General features: G+C 37.6%; 1 protein-coding gene across 7 annotated transcripts in view; it reads left to right on the plus strand.

Moving 5' to 3' along the window:
* Positions 1–22,968, plus strand: part of TENM3 (teneurin transmembrane protein 3) — a 1,355,412-nt gene that overhangs the window by 270,260 nt on the left and 1,062,184 nt on the right. For all 7 annotated transcript variants that reach the window (XM_017008385.2, XM_017008389.2, XM_017008390.2 and 4 more), the window contains exon 2: positions 21,615–21,777. The gene's annotated coding sequence lies outside the window, so the exon portion shown is untranslated. The remainder of the gene's footprint in view (positions 1–21,614; positions 21,778–22,968) is intronic.

Raw genomic sequence — 22,968 nt, forward strand, 5'->3', positions numbered from 1 at the left:
AATTAACTTCTTTCTATACCTTCGCGGGATAACATGTGAATAGTGCAAGATTGTATGTTTAAAAATCTTAAACAGTGTTCTCTTCTTATAGCAGAAAAATGCCTCTTCTGGATGCTGGTTTACTGCAAGATACATCAGATAACTTGCTAACTGAGAACACTGGGCTGTGCATTCGACATAATATTGTGTTTTTCCTTAATAAAAGAACTAAAAGGAAATAATCATAAATGCTGGCAAAATATTACATTCAGTTAAATATTTCTAAATGTATGTTTGAAAGAAATTAGTGAGGAGTATAAAAGAATGGAAGAATACAAGTCTGGAAAGACATGATGCCAATCTTTTATGAAATAACATTCAAAGATTTCCTGTGACCTTGGAATTGGATCTTTTTCTCCTCGGCATGAAACCTCTATAGCTGACTGCTTTTGGATCATACACCATGTGTGTACCCGTCACTGAAACTTTGTTTCTTCCACATAAGCAAAATGTCCTATGAAAAATTCAGTCTACCTAATTCTTCCATGTCACCCAACGTTCAGTTTGAGTCCCATCTCACCCATTAAGTCTTCTCAAACCTCCATAGCTCATGATTATGTCTCTTTTTACCTCCTATAGTGGATTTTAGCCTAATTTGCTAAATTATTGTATGTCCAATGCCACAGCTAGTAAGAGATGAAAGCCAGGATTTGAATTCAGAATGAATCCAAGCTTACCAAGGGTTTGGTCGCAATGGAAATTGCATATTTAGGTTCATAAATGTAAGATGACTGTCAATTATTCCAGAGTTTCTAGGCTTACCTGGGTCAGCCTCGCATCTGTAATCTCACATTTTTTTTCTTTGTTTCACTCTATTAAATTGTAGTGGAATGTGTCCAGCTGGCCCTCTGGACATTCCTGAAGGCAAGGATTAGTTTTGCTTTTCATCTTTGTATAGTCAGCAGTAGGAAACTGTAGCCCTTAGCTATGTGTTCATTAAAGGTCCAGTAAAACAGACACCACTTATGCATGGCCATAGTTTCTCCTTTAGTTCATATATATAAATAAAAATGGGCCGGGCGCGGCGGCTCACGCCTGTAATCCCAGCACTTTGGGAGGCCGAGGCGGGTGGATCATGAGGTCAGGAGATCGAGACCATCCTGGCTAACAAGGTGAAACCCCGTCTCTACTAAAAATACAAAAAATTAGCCGGGCGCGGTGGCGGGCGCCTGTAGTCCCAGCTACTCGGGAGGCTGAGGCAGGAGAATGGCGTGAACCCGGGAAGCGGAGCTTGCAGTGAGCCGAGATCGCGCCACTGCAGTCCGCAGTCCGGCCTGGGCGACAGAGCGAGACTCCGTCTCAAAAAATAAATAAATAAATAAATAAATAAAATAAAAATGAAAATATATATATATATGTAATTCAGGCATCAGGATTCTCCTTAGAAAATCTGCATGCCCAAACCAAAAAAGTTCTAAATCATGTTGAAAGGGCTTGGATACTATCTTCATCCATTGGGATGCTATAACAAAGTACCACAAACTGGGTGGCTTATAAACAACGGACATTTATTTCTCACGGTTCTGGAGATGGGAAGTCCGAGATCAAAACACCAGCCGATTCAGTGTCTGGTGAAGGCTTTCTTCCTCATAGGCTGTGCTGACTCACTCACTGTGTCCTCACACGGTGGAAGCGCAAAAGGGCTCCTTGCGGCCTCTTTTAGAAGGGCACTAATCCCATTCATGAAGGCAGAGCCCTTATGACCTAATTATCTCCCAAAGGCCCCACATCCTAATCCCATCACCTTGAGGGTTAAGGTTAAAACATATGAATTTGGGGGGATTCAAACATTCAGCCAGGGGGAGACAGTAGTATTTCCCAGTGATAGAAGATAGCATGTAATTGTAAGCAATAGTCTCTATCATAAATTCAACTTACACAGAATTTAAATGATGCCTTGATGCTCGTTAAAATGAAATCTGGAATCTTGGAAGTAATGACTCTGTAAATACCTCTGGGTCTCTTTGCTGATTCACAGCCACCTCCTTGGATTCGTATTTGGTATTCAATTTCACAAATATGTATTATGTGCCTACTGCATGCATGTTTCATTTGTTTTATATTCATGCAATGCCTCTACTGTGTGACATTCTCAAAAGACTTCAATACCTTAATGTGCTGGATAACCATTTTCTAAGAACAACTCTTTGTGAAGCTGGATCATATATGTATCTAATTTTTATCGTATATTTAGATTAAAATATTCAAATATTCAGCAACAAATACTTCAAAATCAGTATTTCATTCTTTTTCTCCTCTTCTGAAACAGAATCGCATTCTTTGAGAAAAAATACTAATAACAAATAAGTTTCCATGGCATTATTTTGATAATAGACTAAGAATAAACACAGAGAACAATGAATTAAAATTCCATGTTAGTACTGTTATATTTTTCCCATTAATATTCTAAGCCAATATTATAATTCTCCCAAGATATTCCTATTTGATGTCATTTTTTATTTCATGTATCCTTACTGTGATTATTTTGATGTGTAAGAGTATTACATTCCAGTTATGTGTGGTGTTACAGGCTGCATTTTTATACCATTTTTCCCTCACCCACTGATTGAAAGTATTTATACAGGGCATTCATTTTCTGAAATTAAAAATTAGCTTGGATTTTTCATTGACAAGCTGTATTTTAAATGATTTTGTATTGAAATATGTATTGGGTGGCATGTGTACATTTAAAACTATAAAGTCCTTTGACTGATTTTTTTTTAACAAACACTCAAGAATTCTTACATCTGACAATAGTCTTTTGAATATTCTCAGTGGGAGGAAGTCTTTGTCCTTTGAAAGCATATTTGAATTTTTTGAAACAGCCAAAAGTTATTCAATGTCAAATCTGTGAAATAATTTTGGTGATCACACTGGGCAATTTTATTTTTGAAAAAAAATGAGGTCGGACCATAAAGGTAAGTTTTCTTGTGTGAGTCATAAACTAATTCTGAAGGAAATCTCTCTGGAGAAGAGCTAGCGAAAGATCCATCACTGAAACAAGGTTTCCAGTGGGATGACCATGAAGTGAGGTGGCCAGGCTCTGAGAGACTGATGCCAAAACAGGGCCTGCCAGAAGCACATAGGAGAGATGCCTGATCCAGATGAGCATGAAGGCAGAGTCAGGGACAGCGTCTCTGATGAACCAACTCCTGAATTTATGACTGATGAATAGCATTCAGATAAATACCAAGGGTAAAAAAAAAAAGGGTCATTCCGGGAGGGGGGAACATTATGTACAAAGGCAGAGAGGCAAGAAGATATGTAAACTATCATTCTGGAAGGCTGGAGAGTAAGATTGGCAGGAGATGATGTTCAGGAAAGAAGCAAGGTCAAGGTAGAGTTGTGAATGTCATGGCCTGAAGTTCAACCCTTATCCTGAAAGCTGAGCTCATGTCTTGATTCTTTTTAAGTAGGCCCCTACCTCCACATGATCAAATTTACATGATGGAATGCTCACTCTGGCAGTCGTATAGAAGTGGAGTGGGTCCTGGCTAACACGGTGAAACCCCGTCTCTACTAAAAATACAAAAAAAAAATTAGCCGGGTGTGGTGGCGGGCGCCTGTAGTCCCAGCTACTCGGGAGGCTGAGGCAGGAGAATGGCGTGAACCCGGGAGGCGGAGCTTGCAGTGAGCCGAGATCGCGCCACTGCACTCCAGCCTGGGCGACAGAGCGAGACTCCGTCTCAAAAAAAAAAAAAAAAAAAAAAAAAAGAAGTGGAGTGGGTAGGGTAAGATCTGGGGAGGAAGAGGAATGCAGCCAGGGAAGATGGAAGTCAAACCTAGGTAGGGATAGCAGAAAGGGAGTAATTACAAAGATTTCAAAAAGGCAAAGTTAATAGACCTGGTGGCCTAGTGTGGGCAATAAGGATATGTAAAAGCAAGAACTACAAGACAGCGTGTAGCCTCTCGGCTTAGACTATGGGGTAGATGGTGTGGCTGTCACTGACTTAGAAAATATAGGATAGGAAAACACAACCCACATTCAGTTAGGATGTGCTGATGCAGTAGTGCCCGTGGGAGATGCATGTGGACTTACCACTAAGGCTGGTCAGTATTTGGTTGGGAGATCTGAGGAGCAATCTAACAGGACATAAAAATTTAGAGTCAACAGTGGACAGTGATGAGGCTACAGAGTGAATGTAATCCATGTATTCAAGGGTTTCTAAACTGAGATGAAAAAGAAGATCATGAAATACCTCTAGGAAGCCACAACTGTCAGGCTAGTGTGAAGAGATTCAAAGGACACATAGAAAGAATGGAAGGGTAGCAGAACTGGGGATCAGGGCATAATGGAATCCAAGGGAAATGGGTGTTTTAAGAAGAAGAAAGAGGTCACTGGTGTCAAAAGCCTAGACCAGTTCATGGCACATAGTAAGCACTCAATAAATACTGGCTGGGTGAAACTCCTAGGTGAAATTGCATGAAGACTTAAGAATATCCTCCAATGATGACAATTGCCAGAGTATATCCTGTGGAGTATATGGATAGAAACTCTATTGCAATGAAGTTTAGCAGTGAGTGGGAGGGTTGGAATTAGAGACATTGACTATAGACCACTCTTTCAAGGAAACATAATTTTAAAGGAAAAGAAAAGGAAGTCTGTAGCTAGAAGTATCATAAGGATCAGAGATTTGTTTCTTTGAGTAGTTGTGTCTAATATGTTTTTCTAATTTGAAAGTTAATAATTACTTCTAGTAGGAAACATGGAAAATACAGAAAAGCATAAACAATGAAATTAAAATTACTCATATTTTAATGTATATATATTTTATCTGTATAGTACATTTTAAAATGAAATTGTGATAATAGTGTGGATACAATCTGTCTCCTTTTTCAATCTTTATGTTTCATGATGATTAATTATCTTCTCTGCTCTTAAATATTCCTCAAAAGTATGATTTTTAATGGCTGCAGGTACTCAACAACACACTCTGGGGAAGTCACTGGGAAAAGCCATAGGTGAGTCTTGGTAAGCACAGGACTCATTGTGTGTAGGGGTCTAGAAGGACCACAATGGGCCAGGCTAGATGGACAGTGGAACCACTCTCAGGGAAGGAAGCTGCTCTATTTTTGGCTTCTGAGCTCACTATGGCCTACCTCCTCGCTCAGGACTTAATTACAGCACAACACTGACTCGATAAAATGTGTGTTCTACTAAGCCAGAAAACAGGAACATGGAGGGGACACCAGAAATGTCATCAGCAAATCGTCAAGATAAATAAAGTACTGGTCTAGATCAGAGTCAACCAGGCATTCTGTCCTTAATTTCAATGATTGTACAATGATGTTGGGTATGCTGGTGAAGTCAGCCCTCGGAATTGTCTCTTAAATCTCTGAAGCAATACAGACTGACTGTCTACTGCATCTCGTGTGACCCTGTCTTCTTAGAATCTCCATTCGTTATCTTCCTTTGATTCTTGATGGCTTTCTTCTGTGATGGCTTTTTTTATTTCTTGGAGTCCATTTCTTCATTTTCATGATTTTTCTTCCTCTTTTTGGTAGAGCACATTTCCCAGTAGCTTAATCAGAAAGGAACATGGAGGTAAATGTATTTCTGTTGGATATCTGAAAATACCTTTATTCTGCCCCCAGTTGATGGATCATTTAGCTGGGTATAGAACTCTAAGTTGGAAACACTTTTCCTTCAGGATATTGAAAGGTGTTGTTTTATTGTCACTAGTTTTCTGTGTTGTAGTTCAAAAGTTCTTCTGACTTTATGTATGACCAGTTTTTGTCTCTCTGAAGTATTGTTGAAATTTGGCTTATTTACAAGTTCTTAAGTTTCACAGTGATGTGCACCAGTAATGTTCTGTATTTATCTAGTGGGCAGAGAACTAAGTGGATTCTGGAAATTTTATTGAATTATTTTATTGATGGTTGTGGGAAGACAATTCTCAATGGATTTTTGATACTTCAGACCTGTAAAGTCTGGACATTCTGAGAAAAGAACATTTTTTATTAGCAAACTTTAGAAACTAGAGATAGTGTATCCCTCTGAAGAGACATCCTAAAGTGGTAAAGAAGAGCCATCTACTTTTTTCCCTGGAGGTATTTGTTTACATTTCAGGATAACGAGCAATCTCTTTCTTTCTGGAAGAGAGAATGAGCAGATGTGCCAGCAGGCCTATAAAAGCTCAGAGTCATGTAAAATGTGGGATGCTTCTCCACTGGTTCACCTTACTGCACATGCAGGTAAAATCCAGTTCCGTTCATGTTGCCCTGTGGCGTTTGATGCTTAGAGAACCCACAAAAGAACTTTTCCAACTGCTGGTTTTGTTGTGGGTAAGAAATGATTTGTTTTTCTGATTCAGGGATGTTGCATCTTCTGTCAACATATGTATTTAAATCTGTTGTAAGCATAACTCATTTGTCTTCAATTAGAGTAAAATCTCAAGTCTTCTGACTTAATAATGGCTATCTCTTGTCCATTTTCTCTTTTTTTTTTCTTTGCTGGTATCATACCTCCTGGACTAGTTCTCTAAGTATTCACCTATCTTCCAACTCAAATTATCTCAATTTTATTTTCTAATATACTATTGAGTTTTTCATTTCTGCCATCATATTTGTAATTTCCAAAAGCTCTTTGTTTTCTAAAGTAACTTATTTTTAATAACACCTTGCTTTTGTTTCATAAATAAAATATCTTTTTTATCTCTGTAAGATAATTCATATATTTTGAAGATTTCCTTTGCCCACACAGTGACTGACTTGGGGGGATTTTGTTTGTTAGTTTTGATCTCTGTCTTCTACACTAAAAGCTTTGTTAGACAATTGGTTGACTATTCATATTTAAAATTTGGAGACTAAAATACTAAATGAAAATTCTACTCATTTAAGGAAGGTATACTGACTTTGAACTTGTCTCTGGGGAAATCAGGCTGCCTTTTATTGCAATTTCATGTCAGATATTTTTGGTGTTTCTTTCCTGGCAGATCAGAATATACACAAAATTCTCTATTATTGTTCTGTCTGAGGGATAAAGGCCAGATTGCCACCTTTCAGGGAGTAAGGAAAGTGATGGGAAGGAAAGAGGTGTTCTCAGCATTCAATATATACCTATTTCTTTAATTCCAGTTTGGTGAAAGGTAACTGTACTCTCTACTGTGTTTGGGGTCCTCCCAGTCTGGAATTCCTGTATTTTACCCTCCAGAGAGTAAACCTCTAGACTCAGGCTATTGTGCAGGACAAATCAAGGCTGCTTCACTGCTTTCCCAATGTTTAGCTTAGCGTTCAGCATCCCTGGGCCTACAAAATACATTACTGCCCATCTTTTGCTTTTTAGCCTCCAAAATTCTGTGGTATTCTCTCTTTTCTCACTCTTCCTATCCTTGTGAGTATTTTTACTGATGTTTACTGGACATCAGGAAAGAAAAGTATTGAAAATACACATGCAAATTGCCATCTTTCCCTGCAACGTGGTTTATGTCTTTATATGAATTTTACATACATTGTTACACCATTTAAAACTGCAAAATAAGGATCTGACATTCACATTCTTTTTCTTTCTTTTTTTTTTTTTTTTCTGAAATCGCCAGCTTTCTTGTTTGTTTGTTTTTTTTAGACGGAGTCTCACTCTGTCACCCAGGCTGGAGTGCAGTAGTGCAAGCTCCACCTCCTGGGTTCACACCATTCTCCTGCCTAAGTCTCCTGAGTAGCTGGGACTACAGGTGCCCACCACCACACCCAGCTATTTTTTTGTATTTTTTTTTAGTAGAGACGGAGTTTCACTGTGTTAGCCAGGATGGTCTCGATTTCCTGACCTCGTAATCCACCCATCTCGGCCTCTCAAAATGCAGGGATTACAGGCGTGAACCACCGCACCCAGCCTTTCAAACCATTTTTTAATGATTTATTCTTTGTCCCTTGGTTTGTGATGGCTTGTGATTACTAAAGGCTAAGATGTAGTTCAAGACTATCTATTGTGTTCATTCATCAAATCGTTCAATCCTAATACCAGTACGATAGTATTTTAGTAACGACACTTTAGGGAAAAGCTTAATATCTTGAATGCCAAGACTCAAGACATGGATTTCAAATATCTTTGCCTGCCGTTCAAACAAATGTATATACTCAAAAGTGTTTCAAATGCTAACAGGAAAGAAGGAAAGAAATATAAGTTAATGATAGAATGAGAGAGAATTTGATTTTTTTCAAAAGATCTACTCATTAGAAAATACAAATATTCAAATTACATATTATTAAAATATAAATATATTTTATGAAATTAGCAAATTTTATTTAAAAATTACAGAATACAAAGATTATTTCAAAATATAAATTTATTCATTCAAAAATAAAACGCACATAATTTTTAACCACCTACTATATGCTAAATGAGGTCCCTGGGGAGTCAAAATGAGTAGAAGAACACCAATTTTCTTTCCTACCATGTAGAAATGTCAGAGGGCTTTATGTGTAATGAGTGTCTGCTGTTCCAGGCCTGTAATGGGTATTTTGCATGCAATTTCACATATACGCTTTATACTAACACTCTATGTAGGTGTTATCATCCCAATCTTCAAGGATATGGGAACAGAGGCTCAGAAAGGTTAAGTAACTTGCATAAATTCACTCAGCTATGAAATATTGCTTCTGAATGTCAAACTCACTTTCTTCCAGTCCCACAAGTATAAGAAATAAATTTATTGGAGGAAAAAAACTAACTGTTTTTCCTCTGTTCTCACACCACAGCAATCAACACAGAATACTTCTGTGACCAAATCTGTAGGGGTTTCTCCCCACCAGCAAGCAAGCAATCAATTCTGCAGCAGTCTCAAGCTGGGTGTCCTGTAATTCAGTTCAATTCTGCCACCATCTACCTTGCGATAGTCAGATCCCACAGGTTGAGGGCTCAGTCCCAAAGATCACCCCCCACTTCCAAATTTCTGATGACAACAGCAAGCCCCAGGTTGTTCTACCTGCACTTCTGACCAACCGGCTAAAATTGCATTTCCCAGACACTCCCTCTGGCTTCAATTAATTTGCTAGAGCAGCTCACAGCACTCAGGGAAACACTTACTTACATGTACTGGTTTATTCTAAAGGATATTACAAAGGATGCAGATGGAGAGATGCATACAGAAGGGAGAGGTATGCGGGGAGGGACGTCACCCTCCAGGAACCTTCGTGTGTTCAGCTATCCAGAAGTTCTCCAACTCCATGCCTCTTGGGTTTTTATGGAAGCTTCATTACATAGGCAAGATTGATTAAACCATTGGCCATTGGTGATCAACTTAATGTTCAACCCCTCTACCTTCCCCAGAGGTTGGGTGACCTGGGATTAAAAGTTCCAACCCTTTGAGCAAATGGCTGCTTCCCCTGGCACCCAGCCCCCACCGCCATCTTGTGGTATCTAAGAGTTTTCCAAAAATCACCTCATTAACATAGGCTCAGGTGTGCTTGAAAGAGCTTGTTGTAAATAACAGAAGCTGTCTATCACTTTTATTGCTTAGGAACTACTTCAGGAACCAAGGATAAAAGACCAAATACTTTAACAAAAGATATTCTCTAGTCACTTAGGGAATACAAGGGTCCCAGGAGCTGAGAGCCAGGAATCATGGACAAAACCCAAAATATATACATTATAATATCACAGCTTGAGAAAAAATAATTAGATGATTTTATAATGTAATACTATCTCATTCACATAATCTGTTGAAGAGCATACATTTCTTTACCCTTAGAGAAAGCTGGCGTTTAGAATATTAGGGCAAGATAATATTTACTATATTTTATTATTTGTCAGATTTACTACAATACTTTCAAATATGAGCATTTGAGAATCGAGAACATAAAATCCATAAATGCATTATTAAGCCTCCTTGAGACTTCTCTTTCTGGTTCCCAAGCTTTTAAGTATTAAGGATACGTTTTTTAAATTATATATATCTCCATGTTCTAATTAAGCTGGAGTTCAGCTAATAAGGATCAACTGACTCTCCGATTTGACAGCTAGTCCTAATGTTACTTTCAGAAGCAATCGCAAGTCTACTATGCCTTAATTTGGTGGGTAACACATGATTCAATCTTATAAATCCTAGTAAATAAGATAGCCACTGAGTAAATATCAGACATGATTTTTTAAATTGCTTATAGATTTTCCCACTGAAATCAGATCAGTCTGATCTTTTTGTGATAAACAACATAATGTTTCTAGAGTCTGTAATAGACTCATGTTCTTGCCTTTTAAAACTTTTATCAAAAAACAGTTGAAAAGATGGTGGTGTTCAATTTAATGAAAACGATTATTTCTACCTGATATTAATATCATCTAGGTGTGTCTCAGTCGAATGGCCAAATCATTAATAGTAGTAGTAGCAGTTACGGGAAAGGGGTCCCTATCCAGACCCAAAAAGAGGGTTCTAGGATCTCGCACAAGAAAGAATTTGGGGCCAGTCCATAAAGTGAAAGCGGTTAAGAAAGTAAAACAGTAAACAATGGCTACTCCGCAGGCAGAGCAGCAACATGGGCTGCTTGACTGAATATACTTACAGTTATTTCTTGATTATATGCTAAACAAGGAGTGAATTATTCATGAGTTTTCTGGGAAAGGGATGGAGATTCCCTGGAACTGAGGGTCCCTCCCCTTTTTAGACCATATAGGATAACTTCCTGATGTTGCCATGGCATTTATAAACTGTCGTGGTGCTGGTGGGCATGGCTTTTAGCATGCTAATGCATTGTAATTAGCATGTAATGAGCAGTGAGGAGGACCAGAGGTCACTTTCATCACCATCTTGGCTTGTGAAGGTTTTGGCCAGCTTCTTTACTGCAAGCTGTTTTCTCAACCAAGTCTTTGTGACCTGTATCTTGTGCCGACCTCCTATCTCACCCTGTGACTAAGAATGCCTAACCTCCTGGGAATGCAGCCCAGCAGGTCTCAGCTTTCTTTTACCCAGCCCCTTTTCAAGATGGAGTCGCTCTGGTTCAAACACCTCTGACAGTAGTAGTTTATATGGCTTCTAGATGAGTGTGAAATTTTTTTTTTACATTTAAGATACATTATTATGTTGTTTCCTTAAGCTTAGTAAGAACTGTTTTATTATTTAACAAATGAGAAGTTATTCATTCAGTATAACAATCAATTTATGTTGCTCTAAGTACATGCAAAACACTGTGAACACTACAAAATAAACCAGACATAGAGGAAGCTTACATTTTAATAGAGGGAAGTGAAGAAAATACATATGTAATTATTAATAAATGCTGTGATGTCCCATGCACAGATATAATTCTGTACATAATTCTGTGTGATTCATTTTGCATTTAAAAAAATATGAGAAGTTATTTCTCGCTGAAAAAGTCAAAATATTATTTCTGGAAGAGGTGGTGATATTTGATCTGGGCCTCGAAAGACACTTAGGGTTCATTGAAGCTATGTGGACAATGGAAGGGGAATGACATGACTGTCGTTGCTCTAAACGTGCTTGCCAGGATGACTGTGGAAGCAAATGCCATGATGGCTGCTCCTCCCTCCTCCAAGCCTTCCTGTGAGGAGCAAATCAAAGAATGTAGCAGAAGCCCGGGTCACAGGAACTAATGAGAGCTCATGATGCTTTCTTTAGAGGAACCGGAAAGGCAGCCAGGTTGTTTTTATTTGTTTTACAAATTAAATTTCAGATGCAACTTTTGTGGCTCTATCATTAACAGATGTATTTGAGTAAAGGCTCAGTTAAATTACAATGAAAACCCCAAATTTGGTATGTTAAACATAGGACGTAAGCCTCTTTCACGTGACAGAGCAGCTGGTCTAGGCTGCCAGGGTGGCTCTTCTCCACTGGGTTATTCAGGGAACCAAGTGCTTTGGTCTTGTTGCCCTGCCGGCCCACGAGGGCATTATTGTCATTGTCTTTGTCGGAGCCAGCTCACTGCTATGTACATTTTCCAGCCAATGGTGACAGGAGACATGGCCAAGTCCAAGGACAGATGACTGTTCACATTCCATTAGACCGAATTTAAATACCTGGCCACACGATGTCTGAGAGAAGCTGGAAAATTATTTTCTAGCTACACAATGTTGTCCAAAAGACCATCAGGATGGATAAATAGAAAGGAGAGCTTTATTGGGGATATCAGTTTGCAAGCCAGGAAGAGACAGTCTCTCGCGCGGACCAAAGGTGCTCTCTCTTCAAAGCGGGGCAGGAGAGGTTGGGTTTTATGCCTCGCAGGGCTCGTATCACACAATAGTCATACACATTCAGCAGGTTTCGGGGGAAAGCTATACACGCGTTTGAGGGGAGTCAAGTGCATGTAATGAGTAAACATAAATATAACATATAGCCCATGTGCACTTTGGGGCAGGGTTTTCGCATTAAAATGAGATGGCACTTGGCTCTTTTCCACAAAAGGTGGACTGTAAGCCACAAAGCCCTTTGGTGCACAGTCTCTAGAAGGTGGCTGAAAGAATCATCCAGAAGGAACGCTTGCAATGCATGTCCTTTCCACAATTAGAGTTGCAGAGGTCTGAGTTGTAAATCCGAGCCGATGGCTCCTATTGTTAGGGAGTTTAGTCGTAGGAGTTTAGAGTTTACCCTGCCAGCTGGCCTCCAACCTGTAGGTAACTTTGTTCCCGTAACTTTGGGGTCTAACTTCGTGGATAAAGGGGTGTCTATTTTGGTCTCTTAGATCACAGCAGCCATGTTTCCCAGGAAGAAGGGGAGACAGATGTGGAGGAAGTGGGGGAAAACCCACAGTGCAGTGCGACCAGATAGACTTTTGTTGTTCTGTTTTGATTTATAATTTCTCAGGATTGATAGAAAATTCACTGTTTAGAGGGGTTTTATGCTTTTATAATTTAATATGATCTAAATCTTATAAGCAACACAGAAAGTCACATACTACATTTTTAACGAGTTTCTAGTATGACTTCTCCATGTGGCTAATGCAGCTCCAAAAATTAAGCTGTAAAATTGAAGCTATGCAGCCACCAAAGTAAAAATGCGACTCATGCTGTTTATATGTTTCACAAGATAAGATCGGCAATTCTCGTATTTATTTGACTGTTCCTTAACAACAGTTTTCAGTATGGAAAACGAGCATTTCTGAAGATAATGTAAAGATTATAAGAATCCTGTTCCACATTATGAATTGTAGACCACCCAGCTAAAGCATGAATTTGATATGCATTATGATTATCTAAATCATGTCTGTGCAAGAGATGTATGTCAGAACCACAACTTACAGCTTGTTAATTCTTTACTCAGATTATGTCCACTTCGTAATAGGGGCAAAAAAGAATATCATATGAGATACATTTTTTTAAAAAAGAGGACAGGTAATACTTTTAAAGTTCTGCATAACTGTATTAAATAGGTAAATGTGCTATTTTTTAGGAATTCCTGCTAAATTTTAATACTAATGAAGATTCCTTTTAAGGGATGAGTAAAATTTTTAATGCATGAGTATATTTTATAAACTTCAGCTAAATTCAACAAGTTTTTCTTTTGTTTTGTTTTTCTGAGACAGGGTCTCACTTTGTCACCCGGGCTGGAGTGCAGTGGTGATCCCAGCTCACTACAACCTCGACCTCTCAGGTTCAAGCAATCCTCCTTCCTCAGCCTCCCGAGTAGCTGGGATTATAGGCATTTGCCACCACACCCAGCTAGTTTTTTATATTTTTTGTAGATGTAGGGTTTCACCATGTTGCCCAGGCTGGTCTCAAACTTCTGAGCTCAAGCGATCCACCTGCCTCAGCCTCCCAATCAACAAGTATTTATTAAATGCCTACTCTGTTCAAGACAATGTGTGTCTTATTTTAAATTAAATGTGTTGAATTAGTATGGCTTTTGTCACGTGGACTTTTTGTCCCCCAAAGGTGACTGATTAAAAGGAACAACTGTTGTCTTTGCTCAGCATACACATAGAAAAGAAAATAAAGTCAAGTCACCATGGTCCACTGTACTATATATTAACAAAGCAGTTAAGAGACAAATGAACATTTTTACGAATAAATTTTACATGGAAAATGATTGTCCTAAAAGTCCTACCTCCCTGGGCACCAGAGTGAGTTCTATAACTGAAGGGACCATAAGATGAATGGGACATGGCCAGGCTGTATTTTATTTAAATATCAATCTCAAACTTACATAAAATCCTCAAATGCAAAAGGAATCTAAAACTAAATGGGAAAGGAAACAGAATATGAGTCCAAGAAAAAAGTTATCTTGCATATAATTTGCTTATGAGGCGATTTTCCCCAATTCAGTGTTCCAATTTGCTTTCATTACAATCTGAAGGAAACCCAACAGCAGTCATGGGTGATTGGCTGAGAAATGACTGGATGGGTGATGGGAGAAGGAGCTAGAAGGATAGATGCATGGTAGAAAAGAGGTACATCAACTGACCTTGGCAAGAAATGACTGTAGAACTCAGAAATGACTCCAGGAGGAACAGCCCACCAAAACAGTTTCACCCACTTCAATACATTCTAGAAACATCCCTCTACTAACTTGACTCAGGTTATTTTAATTTCATTTCCTATGTCAGTTTCTTAATGTACAGAAATGTGCAATGCCATCATTTTTTAAAAATTCCAAACAAAAAAGGTAGAATAAAAACGTAATGATTATCTTAAAGGCCTAAGCAGCCATTATAATGAAAAAGGATACCTTTTTCATAAATCAGGTAGGGCCGTAGTTACACAGTTATTATATTTATATAGTTATCAATTGTGTTTCCGGTAAAAAGAACTTTCCATTTCAGATTTGCATAACGTTTGCATTTGCACTGTTAATATGTCAGTTAGTTCCAATTAATAGAAAATTGGATAGCAAACCAAGAAAAGAAGGGCAAAAATAATTGAAGGACTCTCTCTTCGATTATTTTTCAGAGTGACACAGCTTGCGTTTTGAGGTGGGATGAGTAGGGGGGCGGGGGATGAGTGGAGTGATTAATTGGCTCAAATATAAAATAGAACACATGGAGCATTTTAAGAACCACTAAATTACTTTCAAACCATTTGCAGACTATTGTATAGACGTTAATTTATTTCCAGGAGATAATTTTGGTATATTCGAAGAATTAAAAAGTCAGCAAAGACCCGTTGTTGCTTTATCCATTATTTATTGAGAAGGAAAAGAAGGAGGAGAATGGACACAAATTAGAATCGCCTAACTGTACTGAGAGTACTCTAAAGTGTTGTGATTTTATATGGCCTGAAAATGCAGATGAAGGTTGGGAGTTGCGTTTTTGTCTTTGGACCTCTGGAATTAAAGTCATTATATAAGCAATTTATTCAAGTTGCTATCCTGGGATGAAAGTAGAACCTTATTTTTCTTTGACTTCTGAAGACAGATAAATGAAGAAAGGTACATAGATGTAAATAGATATAAACATACATTAAGTCCAATCTTCTGACATCTATTTATGTTTAAAAGTGGTCTTAAAATGTAGTTATTTTCCAAAATCTTCTCTCTTATTGATTCAGGCTATGTTTCTGAAAGACTTGGAAAGTTTGTATATCTTTATAATCTCAGCTGTTGCTTATTGCTAGAAACTAATGTCATTTTTCTGTGATCAGTTTTATAAGAAAGGAGTGACTGAAATCACCAGATTCTCAAGAGAAGTTGTCATGCATCCTCTTACACTCTCCTCGTTTTTGCCTTAGATAACGCTTGAGCATACTGAGATCTGTGGGTCCATATCAAGACTGTCTCCAGATGTCCATTTCATCTGGTGGGCATCACTTGTTTGAATGATGCTACCAGCTTTGGACTAGTCTGTAGAAGGCAGAAAAAGACTGAGTATCCAAGTATCTCATGGGGCTTATGGTTGGGGAAAGGAGAGGCTCCAGATCTGAATCAAGAAAGTTGTATCTTCCTGTTTCAGGTACTTAGAGTCCCCGGAAGAGGGACGCAGTTGAGTATCTGCTTCCCATTCTTTGTTTTTCAGGACCACTTGGATTGTACTTGAATAATTATTAAGACTTCTTACCAAGGAATTCTGACATTATGCGTTTAAAAATGCAAAATCCATTAAACACTAATATGCTGTGACTCAAATCTTTGAAAGAAAAAGTTCTTTGTTTGCGGTTTGGAACCTGCCGTTCTATTTTATTATTGTAGAAGTTCCCAGCAGGCATATTCATCCAGATTTAATTATTAAGCCATAAACGTATCTTTGAAAATTTCCTTTTATACTGAATGCCTAGAAGTGATTTAGAATTGCTTTTTCAATCATCTTATGTGGCAAATCAGACTTCAACACCAAGTATGTTTACGAATGTTTTTGGAAAGTGAACATCACTGAATTGATAATATTTCAGGATGCCATGGCAAATAAAAGAGGTAAATGTGAAGACTGAATAGGTAAAAATGCTTTGAGGTCTTAGGTAACACCTATATATATATCTACTAAAATAGAAGCTTAATGAGGGCAGGGTCCTCATCTGTTTTGCTCATTTTTTTTTTAATCCCCAGAACACAGCATAGCGCTCACCACTTGTTTGGGAGTTCAATAAAAATTAATTGAATAAATACGTGTGTGAATGAATCAATCAAGCCTCATTTTCACCCCCTACATCACCAACACATACATACGTTTCTTAGTACTAACAATGGAGGAAGTTGAAGATTTTTGGGTTTGGCATTAAACATATATATGCATATATACACACACATATATGTATATATGACCAAATTTGTTGTTTAGGCAATGTTGAGTGCAGAAGACCAATTTTCAAAGAGATTCATATTTTACATGTAAGTACAACTGGCTAAATATGATCAAGATTTTCCAAAGCACAGGAAAAAAGGATCAATATTTTCCAAAGCACAGAAAAAGAATTCTCTGCTATTTTATTCCTTGCTTCAAATTGTTGAGAATATGAGAATAAGAGATACAAGCCTTAGCTGTACCTTAACTCTTGGTAAGGAGTGAAAATGAACACAGAATAACCAAAACCTCTCTTTAAAATCTCCTGTGCATAGGTTCTATGGGAATGTCAAAGAAATGGCTTGATAGAAGCAAAGCTTTTCAAATGTCATGACATTAACAAGATTATTTGGAAATATGGAATACTTGTTGAATATTAAAAAGTTAAACACTCTCAATGTTCTTTAAAAGAAAATCATTTAAACTTGTTAATAAAGAAGCAATTAACAAGTATGAATGAGGTGTGCTCATATGCCCACATACAGAATTTACAAGGAAATGCAAAGAACTGGGTATGTAAAAAATATATATTATTTTTAAAATAAATATAGATTTATTCTACTATTTTTCATCACTGTGGCTTTACCTCTACAGTTACACTAACTGCCATTTTTTTATTATAAGCAGTTATTTTCATTCAAAAATTACATTAGAACATGTCCTTAATAGAGTACTTTAATTATGTTCCCCCATTGTTTTTAAACTTGTAAAAGAGTTACAAGAAAATAATGTGGTACTTGTAGCATCCCATAGAAACAAATATTAGTTGACAATATTTACATAACCTAATGCCCATACAATTTGATGCTTGTTTTCCCTCCAATAATTTAGATGTCAAGAAAGTCACTACAAATTAATCATTTTTCCTCAGTCAGAATTGGGAAAAGTTTTAAAATATATAAACTTACTGTAATGCTGCATCAATATTGGACTAAATCATCACTTATTTAATATTCTGTCTTATAAACATATCAAAGCAGAAAACCTTTAGACATATATACAATAAGATATCTCAGCATTAAAACTAAATAATAAAATGTCAATGATGAAAGACTGACAACCCACCCAGACATCTCTCTTATATGGCCTGGGACAAACTCTATCTAAATAAATAGATTTTACACAGCACTAACCCATTCCTGTTCTGCAAACCCACACATTCTAGTAGACACTAGAGCAAGACTTGATTTGTCTTTCCTTAGTGCTACTAGATCGAATTAGTATCTGTACAGTTTGCTGTATGGGTTCTCACTAATAGAAATAAAAATGTCTCTGATAACAAATTTCACAATTGCCAACTAAATTATAAAACCTCAAAGTTGGTATTTTTGTCATTTAAAGACTTCCAGGAGTCCCAGTTTCTGCTATAAATGCTACGTGTGATTTTGAACCCAAAGTTCTAATTTAATGTCTATCTTTTTTTCTTATAACATATTCTAATAAGAAATTTTGGCCGGGCATGGTGGCTCAAGCCTGTAATCCCAGCACTTTGGGAGGCCAAAGCGGGCAGATGACCTGAGGTCAGGAGTTCAAGACCAGCCTGGCCAACATGGTGAAACCCTGTATCTACTAAAAATACATAAATTAGCCGGGCGTGGTGGCACGTGCCTGTAGTCCCAGCTACTTGGGAGGCTGAGGCAGGAGAACTGCTTGTACCTGGGAAGCAGAGATTGCAGTAAGGCGAGACGGCGCCATTGCACTCCAGCCTGGGCGACAATAGCAAAACTCCATCTCAGAAAAGAAAAAAGAAAATATAAATTTCTATTCTTTCTGATCAAATTATGCAAAAAGAGTAGAGGTTGTCACACAATAATAAACCTGCTCTTTCACATGTAATTGCCAATGATAAGACAACAGAACTAGACCATTTTATCCAGAGCTTCGTTATAGCTTGCCTTTGGATATAAGTCCCACGAGTATAGAAAACATGGCAAATTAATATATACTAACGTGGCTGAGTTCTCTGAATGAGTTAGCTAACTGTTCAAAAAATTTTCCTGGTTCACCCAGGAAAAACTATTCTGTGAGTAGATACAATCTGTTTGTTTTCCAGGGCCACATAGCTTTATGTGAGCGTATACACCCAAATACCATTAAAACCCAATAATCCTGGCCTCAACTAGGTTATTTTTAAATCACGAACAAATTAAAATTTGAATTGGAGCCGACTGAGCCTCCCTGATTCCCTGTGGGGACTCACTGTTTCATAACCCCCCAGTTCACCAAATGGATACATAAAACAGCCCCTGCCATGTTGACAGGAACTAGTGGAGGCCCACTGAAATCTTAGGGGAAGAGGCGATGCACGTGCTTTCTTGTCCTGAAGCCGCCATCTTGGCTGCTAGGAGGAGAAGCCAGGAGAAACACGTGGCCCATAACACAATCACTTCCTGGGGTGGTGAGAGTCTTGGACCAAGTCGAGTATCTAATAGAGTCTCAGACCACAAGAATCTTTGAAAAACGATGTGAATTTTCTGAAACAAGGGCTGGGGAGGTGAAGTCAGGTCTTCCATCAGCTACCGGTAGTTCTTCAAATACAGACCAAGTTCTCTTCCATGGAACACCATGGCACCATTGCAACCAATTTCAGAACAAATCCCAAAGTCTAGTACAGATATATTGTTCCACTTACAATTTAACCCGAACTTCCACTTTAGCGAACTTTGAAAGGTCCCATCCAGTTGAGAAGATTTCATGTAGAAAAACAAAAAAGTTCTCATTCAGGAAAATGCTTACTTTTACCCCAAATCCTAATGTTAGGTTCCTATGAAGCTACACATTTAAGCAATAAGAAAATTCATACTTTTGGCTAAAAGTACAAAAGTGTGCTGCCTGTTCTGAAGCCTTTTCCTCCTGTCATGCTCTTAAGAAACAAGGCTCATAGGAACTGACAAGGAATGTATAATAGAGTGGCCCTGGTCAATGTCGCTGGAAGATGTCTTCAGATCACAAGACCATATGTAACTTCTTCAGGGGGAAAAAAACGCTGACAGCACATGAAGAGGCACATCATGAGGTTTTTCTCCTTTAAAAATAACTGCATTCAGTGTCTGTTAATTTTAACATGTTCTGTCCTCAGTCTATCATAAAGATAATTTAAGGATTCCTTGGAAAACAGATTCCTGAGGTAAATAACTTGCACATAACCACAAGACATGACGCTGTATATATTAATATTACCATTTAGACATCCTGGAGTATGATATGCCCAAGCGGTCATCTGACTTTGGGATATGCCCTAGCTTAAATGCAAATAAAAATTTTGCACTGAAAGACACAGTAATGGTACTCAAATGCAGGATGTGGTATTACATAAATTTATCAGGCACACGAGATTGGTGTAACCAGCACAATTGCCAACTCGTATCTGGGGAGTACTACTCTATGTATTGTGCAATAAACATTATACAGCACAATAAATGAGGAAAAATAGCTGGAAAAATATGTGAAGGGAAAGAGCTGAGAAAGGATTATAAAATATCTTTATGAACATTAACATAAATGATGGGTTGCAATTTTCCAGCTTTATTCTTCTGACAAGTTGTCCATACAGTAATGTTTTCATCGTACACTATCATTTAGAAACATACTGCACGAGCTATATACCTGTAAAATCTATAGTTTCTTTTGTAAGGTTTGTGGCTGTTATTCAGTACATGTCAAGTATGCTAGTTAGGTGGTAAATTTACAGTGTATACAGTAACTGGATTTCCTAAACATCCTCCCTTAGAAAAAATAAAATGAAATATAACACCAATGAGAAACAGTGGAACACACGTTCTGTTCTTTTGAGCCAGAGCTTTCCTTGCTTTCTGAATCATCTGTCCATTGTACTGGTCCTGTTTGTTAGCAACCCCCTTACTCTTATGAAGTCCTTTATTTTGTGCTTGTTGTTTTTGGGTTTATATGTCCCCATCGTCTATAACCTTTCTGAAAGCAGAAATGTTGTACCTCTGCTTTTTCCAATGCTGATGTTTTAGAATGTTTAGGTTTGGTAATTTCTTCACTATTTCTAAGATGTAGTGTTTTGATTGTTCGTAGCATTTCCTTTTGTTTTCTCTCGAGTCCCTGTATTTTTAGATTAGTTTTCCTATTTGCTTTTTTTCTGGCTATTGACAAACACTTGTTTTCGTTCTCCCAAGCATGCATTCTGAACCCCCCTCCTAAATTATGGAGGGGGAGGGGTTAATAGCTATGAGTAGATATATTTCCCTTGTAGAATCTGAACTAGCTTTTAAAATGTGTTTTCCCTCCCTTAATTTATAAATATTTTAATCAATAATGTATCTATTATTTCCCAAGCGAACCCTAAGGAGTATGTTTGATGGCCTCACACAAGCTATTCCAGGAGAACAGCCTCTCTCAAGCAGCTGACACCAGTGAGCCTAGCTAGTTTTTACCTCTCTCGAGTCCCTATATTTTTAGGTTAGCTGGCAAGGGCACACTCACTCCGTCACTGAACCCATGAAATTAATGTGTTGTGCAAGTTCCCTCACTCCCTTTTGCTGAACTTGCATTGTATTGCCCACTGCATATTCAGTCAGAAGCTAGCCTGGAACAAAACGCCAGCCATCAGAGAAAACTCCTGTCTGTCCTTGACGTTGTAATTGCATTCAATCAGCATCAGCTCTGCATCAATAATTAGACAGGGGTCCAATAATGATGTTGGCAATGAAACAACATAGTCAAAATTTCAGCGATTTCATAAAGTGATTGTCCAAATGTCGAAACCAATGTTTAAGAATGAAGCTCCCCCACTTACTCATAATGTCACAGATGACTGAGAACTGGTGCCCCTTGTATTGTCTGGAAGAGACCCTTCGAACTGTTGCCTCTCGTACCAACTAAAGAACTATACTTGCTTTCATATATGACATACTTGCTTTTAAAAATCTAATTAAAACTTTCTTTTTGGTCCTTAGGTAGAAAAATGGCTCTGCTGAGATGAGCTCTTAATTAATGCACTGAGAGCCTGCAAGTCCCACCTCTCAACAGGAATGATTGACGTCCAAGGATACATAAATTACACTAACTGAGCTCTGCCTCTATATAAGCTTTCCACATCCAACTCATCAGAGAAGCTAGGTGAGTAGACCAGCATCAAAAGCTACCTCAGTATGGTCTATGCTTTCCCAAGGGGTGGAAGAACTTTGCAGACCGTCGTACATTTATTATCACAGAAGACAGTTCTTTGCTTCAGTTTTAAGATGTCGGTTTTCTTGTTGTAGGTTTTTTTAATTATAAAAATTAGCATTTTTAACATAGCCATTGAAATTTAAATAATCGCATTCTCTTCACAATTTTCAAGCAGCAAAAGTTGCAAGCCAATTACAGTACGCAAAAATCACTTGGCATCATCTGTTGATATTAAATTGTGTTGCGTAGCAACCGGCGCACATGCTATGGAAGGATTGTTTGAAATCAAATCCAATTTTAGTCCCTGAATTTAGTTTTCAGAAATTTACCTAACTGTAAACACACCTAATCCCCAGCCTCAACCAAAGCACATACCGAAATGTTTCTTTTATGTTTATTTCATCCTGAATGAAATCCACAGGTATTCTAAACCTCTTACTTCCATGAAATTTAATAAACCACTTGGCATGATCTAGGTGGTTTAGTAGCCTGAAATAAAATTTATGGACAGAACCGTTTGCTAAAAATGAACAAAATTATACTATATTAGATTTCTCTATTTATGTCTTGAAGTTAATGACAGATATTTTTGATATCTTAACAATTATGAAAAATTCAGTTTTGATTATTTTTTAGAAAAATAGGAATGATATGAGAATTTCAGAATATTAACTTTATTTAACATGTTTCACTATGAATATATATGTGTTATTCAGACAAAATATAAATGGGACTTGAGTCTTACTACATATATTTTTAAAGGAGAGCAAGGGAATGGAGACCACAAAGAGCTGTAGTTTAAGAAAGTATTAAGTGATAGTTTAATACTTTAACAAGAAAGATAAGTGATACAACAAAATGAACAGAAGTAGAAAAAGCAAATGGTGAAAACCAAAGGAAAAAATACCAAACAATAGAGATCACTGCAATCAATCTTGAAAATGATAAAAATTACCAAACCTACACATTCCAAAAAATCAGCACTGGAAAAAAAAAAAGTCAAGAAAAAGGTGGTAGAAGGAAACAAATTTAGTTTCAGAAAATATCTAGGGGGGACCACCATGAACTAGTAACAAAAATGAAAGAGAATTCAGACTGGATTCCTGAAACATTCGGGAGAACATGTTGCTTCCACACATT

The sequence above is a fragment of the Homo sapiens genome, chromosome 4 (genome assembly GCF_000001405.40).
Source record: "Homo sapiens chromosome 4, GRCh38.p14 Primary Assembly".
Lineage (NCBI taxonomy): Eukaryota > Metazoa > Chordata > Mammalia > Primates > Hominidae > Homo > Homo sapiens.